The sequence below is a fragment of the Homo sapiens genome, chromosome 1 (assembly GCF_000001405.40).
Source record: "Homo sapiens chromosome 1, GRCh38.p14 Primary Assembly".
NCBI lineage: Eukaryota > Metazoa > Chordata > Mammalia > Primates > Hominidae > Homo > Homo sapiens.
This window is the reverse complement of record NC_000001.11, coordinates 171,560,466-171,572,712: the sequence shown is the minus strand read 5'-3', so window position 1 is coordinate 171,572,712 and position 12,247 is coordinate 171,560,466. Positions and strand designations below refer to the sequence as shown.

The window sequence follows — 12,247 nt, the reverse complement described above, 5'->3', positions numbered from 1 at the left end:
ATAAAAACCATAAAAGTAAGACTAAGTAAGGAACACAGATTAAGACAGTCATTCAAGCCAAAAGACAACAGAAAAGGCTGAACAGGAATTGGCAGTAAAGACTAGGCAAAGACAGGGATGGCACAAAGCAGAAGCTGTTGTCTTATAAAATTTTATGATCTCAAACTTATATTTGTTAAGCCTCTTACAAAGAAGTTGGGCAGACAGGGGAAAAGATAAGGGGACAAAAGTAATATGAGTCCAAAATGAATATTGGCCACACTGTAGAACAACAAAGTTCCTGTGACCCCAACTGAAGATCATCAAAGAGATTGTCAACCAGTGCAACATCAGGAAGCCCTACTATATTAGAGATTAAGAACTTCCCTGGATTATGAACAAAGAACATCAATGAGATAAATAGACTTAAAAAAAATCTTCCCTTGGCCAGGTGTGGTGGTTCCCACCTGTAATTCCAATACTTTGGGAGGCTGAGGCAGGTGGATCGCTGGAGCCCAGAGTTCAAAACCAACCTGGGCAACATGGCAAAACCCCATCTCTATTTAAAAAAAATTTTTTTTTAAATTAAAAAAAACCTCCTTTAATTCCATGTTTGCACTTTTTTAAACTACTGACTACTCCAAAGACGAACTGATTTAAAATACTCTCAAACAACACAACTGTAAAAAATCATTAACATAGCTCAAAATTATAATAGATTAAAAAAAAAGGCCAAAACATTTTGACATCAAAAAGCGCTGAATCTCTTTTGTCCTCTTATTAAATAATTATCCAAAAAAAATCAACTGAAAATCTTCTGACATCATCTATAAAGCATACTTGTCAATTATCTTCCCATAAAATAATCATACAGTGTTCATTCAATTCACACATAACTTACAGGGAAGACAAACAACATTCTTACTATTATCAGTACTTAATATTTTGGTAACAATCATAAAAACATGAAATAATTAAGATTTTATTTTTTGTATACAAACCCATATATCCAAAAATTATTAAGATCTCTGGGAGGAACTTAACACAAACATGGAAAAATACTCTCCTGTATTTTTAAGACAAAATTCACAAGCATAATAGGCCTCACTTTAAATATGAGGATATCACGTCACCACTTAGTGGTATCAGAAGCTAATAAAACTGTAAGGTATAATTTGACAGCACTCTATTTCCTCAGCTTAGTATTGTTGCTTACCACATAAATCTAGTAAAAATACCCCACGAATATTGTTAACTTATGTCCCCTTGCATGCAACAATTAAGGACTCTTAGAGATGGATGTTGTACATACCTTGAAGGTGAGGCTGAAAGTAGTGGGAGGAACTGAAGTTAGGCTGGAGCTCTGTTGTATAGTCTCCCTCTTAGGGAGGGGAAGGGTGTTGGGCAGGGGCACCTGAAAAGGTAGGCAACACATATCACAATCTAACTATGTGTCTACTACGAAAGCCCCATTAAAGACAATGCTAAGGTGTTCTAAGGGTAGTGTTTATTTTTCATCAGAGCTAACAGAAATATGTGATTACTTAAGAGTCACATTGTGTTTATAGTAGTTGGTAATTAAGGATACCTCAGATAAAACTTCTGAAGGGAAATTATTATCTGCCTTTTTATACGTTAAGTTGGCAGAAAGAGAGTCTGCACCAGATATAAGGTGTATACTCAGAAGGCAGTGCTTCTCATATTTTAATATGTACATAAATCACCTGAGGATGCTGATAAAAAGCAGATTTTGATTCAATTGGTCTATGTTAAGGCCTGAAATGCTGGGTTTCAAACAAGTTGCCAGGTGATGCTGATGGTGCTGGTCTACAGGCTGCATACTGTGTAGCAAAGCTCTAAGGAATAAAACCTTCACCATATATCTACAGGTTCCACCAGAAGTATTTAACATGACAGCAAAAATATAAAAAATTAATCTCTTTCCTGCAATATGGTTAACTTTTATAACAAGATTCAAGAACAAAAGTAATCTTGGGAAGAAAGTATGGACTGTTAGCACCATCTCATTACAATAAAACTGTTCTGCTATAGTAATAATTATGGCAAATATTGTTAGAAACTTTAAGATATTAGAAACTCACTGCCTTTATCTCTGGATCTTGGGACTTTATTATGTATTACGTTTTGGATGGTTCGTTCAGTTGTTCAGGAAAAATAACTGGGATGCTTGAGAGTTTTAAGATAATCACTTTGTGATACTATGGACTACCTAATGGAGATTCTTTCATACATGTTGAAAGCAGCTGTGCTATGATAATCCAAAAGGCCACCTGCATTTAATCTTCAAGACATTCAAGATACAAGATGATTGTACTACTGAGTAATACTAACCAACATGTATCAGTTAAGACCATAAAAAAGTGTATTAAGCCCCAATAAGAGAAATAAGCCATTTTCAAGTATAATTAAGAAAGACAAAAGTTCTATGTGCAAAATGGAACCCCCAAACAGACAAGTGAAAGAAAAAAGGACATCTCAAGAGGTCCTAAATTTTTTCCCATGAAGGACATTCGTTTTTAACTCTACATTGAGTTCAGAATCACCAACACACTTGGCACAAGTAAGCAACACCATGAAATCCTTTCAAACTGATGACCATTTATAATGCTCCCTAACCCAAACTGATCTTTCTGCTTTCAAACATACCCTGGCTACACTGCTAACAACTGCATGCAGACTATTCACCTATATATGAGGCTGGGTCTGTTGTCTCCAGTAGTTACCAGTATATAAGTCGCTCCATTAATTAGCCTTACAGATCACACAGAAACCATCAAAATGCTCATCTGGATATTTTCAATGAATTTTAAGGGTTCTGAGAATAATAATTTTTTCTTCCTTATTTTATATATTTTATAAATCATATTTTCAGAGGGTAGTTTCGCAAAAAGCATCATATACTTTAAAAACCACTATCGTAGAAATATTCTGTATTTTTTAAAAATGAGAAAAGACACAAAGTATAATTAAACTTTATTGAGATCTTACTGATTGAATATTTCATAATCTAGACAGTGATATCACAGCACTTAAACTGAAAGGAAGTCTTTTCCTCCTTCCCAAGTCTTCCATTATTTTTCACAGGAGGTATAAGGAGTTAAAAAAAGAAAAAAAAAACCATATATATATATATATATTTAAACCACTTTCATAAAAGTGGGGGGTGGGTGGGAGGAAAGTTGAACAAATCACATTAATCAGCTCCTAGAGAGCTCTCAACACCAAGAAAAAATATGTGACTCACTCCTTTCTATTCCTTTTCTCAGCTACATATTTAGTACAGTCCTTCAGCTGAACTACAAAAATTGGATTAAGTGACCCCTAATGCAGCTCACCTTTCTAAAATTCCATATACTTGATGCTAGAGGGAAGAATAGAAAGCATAGAAAAAAAGTAAGAAGATAATAAAGATTTTTATAACTCAAAATGATAGTTAAAGCTCTTTGTGACAGACCTTTAAATATTTATCTGTAAAGGATTTTTTTAAAAAAAGGATGATCAACATTTTAGTCTGATAGCCTTTACTTATTACAGAAGGCTATATTTAAAACAGAGAGCACTAACCAAATTTCCATCATACCTCTCTCCAAAATAAGGACCATGCAAGTAACTTTTAAAATGTTCTTCTAAATAAATGACACTGTATAACTATGGCAAGCTACCTAATGTTTCTGGGCTAACAATTTTTCATCTATCAGACAGTGAGCTAAGCAAAATGATGAACTGTACAGACTTTTAACACAACCTTGAATTATATTAGTAACATGGTTGCTCTGGAAAACTAGGTCCTAAGTTACAACATGACTTAACATCACCTTATATTAGAGCATATCAGAGTGTTTGGCGTACTTATGTATACAATACAATATAGCTCAATCTACACAACAAGAATGTTGTTAACACGCTGGTATTTTTTCTTTTTTAAAGACATACTTGATTCTTTGGGAATTCTATAGTTGTCTTTTAATTCTAATTTTAGTTATCTTAAATAAGTTGGGTTTCACTGAATTATAAAAAGGTTTTATGTAAGAACAAAATCACCAACCGTTCATGTTAAATTTGTAAATGTGAGAGCTAAAACAACTTCTTACCAATACCAGGTTAATAAGATTAGTATTTACACGAAACCAAGCCTACGCACCACAAACCTTCATCTTAAATGGAAAGCAGATGGCTTTCAGAGGAAAAATAAAAAACTCAGCTTTGACTATTTTTGCTAATTATATTACAGTACTCCTAAACACAAATTTACTATCAACTCTTTCCCTGAGTTAAATATTGATCACTACAGTAAATAAAACATGAAATAATGTGCTTGATAATAATAGCCAGGTTCCAATCCAAACTTGCCACATCTCAAACTGATTACTTACATTATTAACCAAAGTATCCTCCATCTTTGTATTATTAGTAGCCACGGTGTTAGGCAAAGAAGAAGAGGGTGTAGTATAGTCTGTTACAGACTCCTGTGAAGTAGTAATAGAAAAAAAATACATTTTAAACTGAATTAATTGCTCACTTCTTCCTCTTTTTTTTGAGTCTCGCTATCATGCAGGCTGGAGTGCAGTGGCATGATCTCAGCTCACTGCAACCTCTGCCTTCCAGGCTCAAGTGATTCTTGTGCCTGAGTCACTGAAGTAGCTGGGATTACAGGCGTGCGCCACCATGACATTAATTTTTGTATTTTTAGTAGAGATGGGGTTTCACCATGTTGGCCAGGCTGGTCTCGAACTCCTGGCCTTAAGTGATCTGCCTGCCTCAGCCCACCAAAGTGCTGAGATTACTGGCATGAGCCACCACGCCTGGCCAAATTGCTCACTTTCTAATGATAGCCTAATAGTTGTAAAGTTGTTCTGGAAGAAAGCAGGGGAAGAGAGCAGACTTTAAGACTCAACTCACTCAATCAACTAACAATGGAATAATACAACATGGACTCACGATCAAAATGATAGCATTTCAACTACTACTGCATTCTTGTACATTTAGTACTAGGAGACTGTCAACAGTACCAAATATTTATTTCTGTAGGTTATTAAAAGAATCTTTTGTGTGTTTCCCACATTCATTCTTAGCTTACTATCAATTACCAAGATCTTAGTTGTTGCAATTACTCAGGTTTTAGGGTACACTCCTTGTTTCCTGTCACAAATCTCATTTTGAAATATGGCAGAGTAGGACCACATAAGCTATTACTTATATGAATTCAGCTGTATGGCAATTAAAAAGAGACTAATATTCAGATAATATAAAAAATTGCATGTAACTTTTTCTCAGAGTTTATGTCCCAGAGTCAATATAAAATCGCAGATATGTTTGCTATTCCCATGAGTGTCTGTTCCCATGGTCAATCAACATATCTTGTCTTAATGAGCATTTTTAGATACACGTTTCATTCAATGTGGCCCCTAAATGTGAGTCAACAGCCTCCAGTGTTCAACCAAAGAAACAGTAATCTGTTCCAACTATGAAAAAAAACTGGCTATACTGGAGTTAGTAAAAGTCTGCCTTATTTCCTGACTTTAGAATGTCACCAGTGGGCAAGATAAAGCTCTACTGTAATTCTATTTATATTAAAAGTGATATAGAGCCATCTTTCAAAGTATTCAGATTTTGTATAGATGTTTTTCACTTTAAGCTACTCAAATAGTCCAGAATTCAGAGTAAATTTCCTCAAAAAGAAATATAATTTGCTATAAAGAACTTCTTTAGATTACATATGCAAATCATGAAACAAAATCTTCTTTGCGGAAATAATCTATAGAGTTATATGCCTCAGCAGGAAAAAAAAAAGCAGACTGTTGCTGTTCTTCTCGTTCATTTTAGACATGGCTTGCATCTGTTGAACTGGTAATCCCTACATGTGGCTTACCTTTGCATTAGTACCATATTCTGCAGATGATACCGAGATCATTGTTCCTATTTCAGTAGACATTTCTGAGACTGCTTTAGTCTCCTTTGTCGTGACAGGATCTGTGCTTCTGACTGTAGCTGGGCTTGGTTTCTCTTGTCCTTCTGGCTCCACCTGTTGGGCATCTTTTACTTTTCTATTTTTTAATGAACGTTCCTTTCCAATGGGACCAGGTTTGTGTTCTTTGTTTTCTACTGGACTCAAATCTGGAAGCTAAAGTCAAATGTTTATGATAAAACTATGTTTATGATAGATGAGTATCTTTCATCATTGCACCATGATCAAAGATATTCATTAAAATTAAGTTCACTTTTAAAAGTATTATTTGCTCTTCATGTCAGTGGCCTTCATAAAATTTTATCTGGATTATAAAGTATATTTACCTTCTGGGCTTTGATAGGTCCTGCTCGTGGCTGCTTCTGCCGCTGTTCTTTAGGTTCAGGTATTTTGTCAGCAGATTTTTCCGAAAGCACAGGAACAACTTCATTTTCATTTCCATTTGAGGCTGGAGCACCAAACTGAATTGTGTCAGTTCCAATTTCGAGTCCACTTTCTTGACCATTCTTCGCTCCCTAGTAAAAGAATATTTTAAAACTTGCTTGCAAAGTATAGTTCAGATGTGACTGATTTATGAAGCACTATACAGTTTAAGTACAATAGAAGGTTTAAGACAATCTACATATTAACTGAGACCGACATTAATTATATTTTAGGATAATTTTCTCTTAACTGTTGTTTGTCTGTACTAGAAAACAACTGATAAGATGAAACTAGCACAAGACTTAAGTTTTTAAAGTCCTGGCTCTCATGAGTGTGATCATGGGCAAAGCACAGCTTCAAGTTGTTTCCTCATTTAAAACAAACGTAAAAGCAACACACAAAGACACCACTACCAACAAACAGATGAATACACTGGAAATAAAAGACAGTAATAAGTGTCACCTGCTTCTCAGAAGTCTGCTTTGAAAATGAAATTTAAGAAATATAATAAAAACTTTGTGATTGGTAACATAGAGCAAACATCTAAGCAATCAATCCACCAATTAAACAGTTAATTTGGGCCGGGTATGGTGGCTCATGCCTGTAATCCCAGCACTCTGGGAGGCCTAGGTGGGCGGATGATGAGGTCAGGAGTTTGAGACCAGCCTGACCAACATGGTGAAACTCTGTCTCTACTAAAAATACAAAAACTAGCAGGGCTTGGTGGCATGTGCCTGTAATCGCAGCTACTCAGGAGGCTGATGCAGGAGAATCGCTTGAACCCGGGAGGTGGACGTTGCAGTGAGCCTAGGTTGCGCCACTGCACTCCAGCCTGGGTGACAAAGCGAGACCTGTCTCAAAAACAAACAAACCAACCCAGCTAATTTGTTGAGCATCTTCTTTGTGCTAATCAGATGTGCTAATCAGTCTAATTGCACAATTTGCATTCTAGCAGGTGAAGCAAATAAAGAACTGAAAAGTCAGATAAGGAATCTGCAAAAGCAAAATAGGGTTAAGAGACCAGCTACTAGACTGGTAGACAGAGAAAGCCCCTGAGGAGGACACACTGACATTGAATCTAGAAGACAAGATCAGTGGAAAGAGTTTAGGGAGACCACATACCTAGGGTAAAGGTCAAGAACAAAAAAAGGTCAGTGAGGCTGAAGCATAGCAGGTATGGGGAACAGTTGTAGAAACAGACAAGCAGATTAGGTGACCTAGGGCTTTGTTACAACAATTAATCTTTTCATGAAAAGACAAACATAAAAAGCAAAACTAGGGTCAAAATTCAACTAAAGCTTGTTTTAATAATTGAATCACTACTCCATGTCATTTTTGGCATTCCTAAACCTAGCATGGTCAATTACTACATAAGGTTAATGTTATATCTACCCGGATATAATGTCAAGAGTATGAACAACGCATGCAATTCAGATTTACTTTTAATATTTAAATAGTCACCTTCAAATACAGTCATGTGCCATATAATGGTGATGTTTAGCCAATGATGGACCACATATACAAGGGTGGTTCCATAAAATTATAATATCGTATTTTTACTGTACCTTTTCTATGCTTAGAAACACAAATACTTATCATTGTGTTACAACTGCCTACGGTATTCAGTGTAGTAATAAGCTGTATAGGTTTGTAGCCTAGAAGCCATAGGCTATACCATCTAGGTTTGTGTAAGTAGACTCTATGATGTTCACACAATGACCCATTTCTCAGGACGTATCTCTGTTGTTAAGCAAAGCATGAATGTATTGGAAAATACTGATGCACATTAGAATAAAAATTTCTTTGCTTTAGTCAATGTTGAAATTCTACAGTCAGTTAAATGTAAGTGTACAGTAGTATTAGAAAAGAAAATAATGCAGTAAGTAGACTGTGAAGGCTATTAACTGTATATACAAAAATGTTAAGAACTTGTACATATTTAAATGAGTAGAAAAATAACTGTCAAGTTAATGACTGTTAGAGAATGTTATATCCTTTGAAATGAAAGTGTTTATGAAATATACATAACACAAAGAATGATAAAAGCTTAGACAATATTATAATATCAAGTCTTTGTAAGGCTAGTTGGTGTAACTAACGTTGATAACTTTAAGTAAAATAATCATTAAGAGTTCTATTTCACTAGAATAATCTAAGAAAAAGTCCATTAGGGAATTCTTTCCATCCTATGAAATGTCAACTTTGCTAATACAAAATTTCTTCATGAGGAAAAACTCCAAAATAATGTATGACATTCACAAAAAATCATCTTCCATCCAGAAAACATAAAGAACACAAAGACAATGAAGAAAAAGGTATGAGAGAAAAATGAGACACCAATAAAATATCTTGCTCCACCACTGACTGAAGGTAAGCGTAAACACCCATTTATCACTGTAAACTTGTAGAATGCCTGCAAGAAAAATCTTGTGGTTGGGAAACAAACTTCCACTCTTTCCTTCATACCAGCATGAAAAATCCTGAAATGCTCTCTATGACTAATCATGATGCTAATACCAACAGGCAAAGGAAAAATTATTAAACTGAGACTCTTAAATATTGAATGCAGTGACTCTTGAGTTTTAGAGTTCTCTGAAGAATCTGTAACATCAAAACAGATGATGAAGCCTACTCTAGACCTACTAAGTCAGAAAACTGGAGTGGAGACAGAAGTAGCAGGAAGACTTCTTTAAAGAAAAAAAAATCTTTTAGCACCTATAGGCTATACAAAAATTAAAATCTCAACTATATCTTCTTTACTGCCCCATTTTTTTCTGTACTCCTTTATAGCAAAATGACGTTCAAGTTCTTTATACAGTTGGCTCTCCTTATTTGCAGGTTCCACATCTGTAGATTCAACCCAGTATGGATGGAAAATATTCAGAAAAAAATTATAAATGGTTGTCAGTGCTATACAAGAACAGACTGTTCTTTCTTGTCATTATTCCCTAAATAATATGGTATAACAACAATTTACATAGCATTTACATTGTATTAGGTATATAATTAATCTAGAGATGATTTAAAGTACACAGGGAGGTTATGCATAGGTTACATGCAAATACTGCTTCATTTTATATGAGACTTGAGCATCCCTGGGTTTTGGTTTCTATGGTGGTGAGAACCAATCTCTACAGATGTGGAGAGAAAATGGTACTCATCTTTCCTTTCATTTCCTCTTAAACTCACTCTTTCATCCAGGCTTTCATCCCTACTACTCCACCAATAATGTTCTTATCAAAGTCATCAGTGACCATCATGTAACTCTATCAATTGAACACCTATATTACTTGACCTACCAGCAGCCATCTGACACACTTAATCTATCCCTTCTTTGAACTTATCTTTCACTTGACTTTTAGGATACTTCTCTAATCACTTAGCTTCTCTAATTCCTACATTTCCTGGAGTCAGAAAGCCCCAAGACTTAATTTTTGATTCTCTTTCCTAACTACTCTCATTCTCCCTTGGTAACCTTATACCATTCCATCACTTTAAACATCATCTATATGCTAATGACTTCAAATTCATTATCTTCAAACTAGATGAACTCTTCTGAACTACAGACTCATATCCAACTACATTTCCACTCAGAGGCATAATAAGCATCTTAAATCTAACATGTCAAAAACTGTCCAATCTCAGTTACTGAAAATTCTAGTATTTCCTACTGTTCAACCCAAAAACTTTGGAGCTAACTTTGACTCCTCTGTCCCTTCTCATACTCCATTTAACACTTTAGTAAATCTTGTCAGCTCAATCTTCAAAATACTCAGAAACCAACTATTTCTCATGACCTTTCATGCCACTTCCCAGGTTTTAAGCTATCATCATTCAATTATTGTAATATCGTAACTTCTACTCTTGCCACCTATGAATTATTTTTCACAGACAACCCAGAATAATTTGAAAAGTCAGATCCTGTTGCTCCTTGCTCAAAACCCTTCAGTGTCTTCCCACCTCTTCCATAGGCCCTACAGGATCCACCTGCTACTCAGGTGTGACTTCCAACTTCATCTATTCTCTTTCCATCTCTTACTTCATTCCAGCTACATGGACTTCCCTGAACTTCCTCAAACAAACCAAGTGTGCTCCTGTCTCATGGCATTCATATTTGCTATTATCTGAACCTGGAATCTCTTTTCCTCAGACATTTGAATAGCATACTCTCTTATATCCTTCAAGTCTTTAACTCAAGCATTATCTAAGTAGGCTTTCGTGGTCACCCTATATTAAACTGTCTTTGTGAACCTTGGAAAATTCCTTATGTACCTTTCCTGCTTCGTTTTTCTCCACAGTGCTGATCACGATGTTTTTTTATTAGTGGTTTCTCCTCACAGGACAATGGAAGTCCCATGACAGTAGGGCTTTTTGACTGTTTTTAGTCCCAGTTTTGTAAGCCCGCAGGTTAGAACACTACCTAGAATACTGTGAGTGCTTAGTAAATGTTCATTCAATGAATGAATGAAGAATCACTGACCCCCAACAGTCATTTACCAATATCACATTTGAGAAATTATGTTAGAATAACTATCTGCTATAAACAGTTTCTAAATACTTATACTACTTAAGTCCTCAAGATAGAAACATGGGAGAAAAGTCCAGAAAACAATAATTGCACTTTTATTTTCTGTTTCATTAAGATCTTTCTTGAGACTAAATTGAAAATAAGTGTTTAATGTCTAAAAGTGAGACACACCTTATAAATGTAAAGATGTAGCAGCAAGAGTATCACTTGGGAAATTGTTAGCATTTATTCAAACCTCAACCCAGACCTAATAAGTCATGAACTATGGACATGGGGCTCAGCAATCTGTTTTAATTGCCCTCCAAGTTAATTCTGAGGCATGCTATAAGCATTGTTTTGCTTTCCAGGTGGGGTCTTGCTCTATCACCTAGGCTGGAGTACAGTGGCACAGTTATGACTTTACTGTAGCCTTGACCTCCCAGGCTCAAGTGACAGTCCAACCTCAGCTCCAGAGTAGCTGAGACTACAAGCACATGCCACCACAACTGGCTATTTTTTATTCTGTATGTAGAGACAGGGTCTTCCTACATTGCCCAGGCGGGTCTCACTATGTTGCCCAGGCTGGTCTCAAACTCCCGGACTCAAGTAACCCTCCCACCACGCTAGGATTACAGGTGTAAGCCACCACACCCGGCCACACTGAAGTATTAGGGAAAATCCAGCACACCTATGCTGTTAAAAGCCTATTCTTACCTCTGATGAAGGAGCTGATCCAAACGATGTTAAGGGCTTATTCCATGCACTGACTGAAGGTGGCTGTGGTGGACTAATGGGACCTACTGGAAAGAAGAAGCCATAAAAAACATGATTAAGATTTAGAGTCTAATAATCTCTAACCCATTTAACCCTTTCCTTAATCTCCTACTGTGTAGCTATTACTAGCCAGGGAATAAAACAATCACTTTTCAAATCAGACTTACAAAGATTATTATGTATCAACATACAGGCATACCCCAGAAACATTGTGGGTTCAGTTCCAGACCACTGCAATAAAGCAAGTATTGCAATAAAGCAAATCACACTAATTTTCTGGTTTCCAAGTGCATATCAAAAGTTATGTTTACATTATACTACAGTCTAATAGGTAATAGCATCATGTCTTAAAAAAGATGTATACTTTTTAATTTTAAAAAAACTACCGCTAAAAAGGAAGCTAATCATCATCTTAGCCTTTGAATTGTACTTTTTTTGCTGGTGGAATCTTGCCAGTGGAGATGTTGATGGCTGCTAACTGACTAGGATGGTGTTTGCTGAAAGCTAGCATGGCTGTGGCAGTTACTTAAAATAAGACAACAATGAAGTCTGTAACATCAACTGACTATTCCTTTCAT

The 12,247-nt window shown here is 35.7% G+C and overlaps 1 protein-coding gene across 18 annotated transcripts in view; it reads right to left on the bottom strand.

The window, feature by feature from the left end:
• The window catches only part of PRRC2C (proline rich coiled-coil 2C), a 107,982-nt gene that overhangs the window by 20,799 nt on the left and 74,936 nt on the right, over window positions 1-12,247 (bottom strand). For all 18 annotated transcript variants that reach the window (XM_005245020.3, XM_005245015.3, XM_005245025.3 and 15 more), the window contains exons 20-24: window positions 11,610-11,695; window positions 6,292-6,480; window positions 5,870-6,121; window positions 4,374-4,466; window positions 1,292-1,393 (exon numbers count right to left, since the gene is read on the bottom strand). In XM_005245020.3, the coding sequence (XP_005245077.1) occupies window positions 1,292-1,393; window positions 4,374-4,466; window positions 5,870-6,121; window positions 6,292-6,480; window positions 11,610-11,695 (722 nt within the window). The remainder of the gene's footprint in view (window positions 1-1,291; window positions 1,394-4,373; window positions 4,467-5,869; window positions 6,122-6,291; window positions 6,481-11,609; window positions 11,696-12,247) is intronic.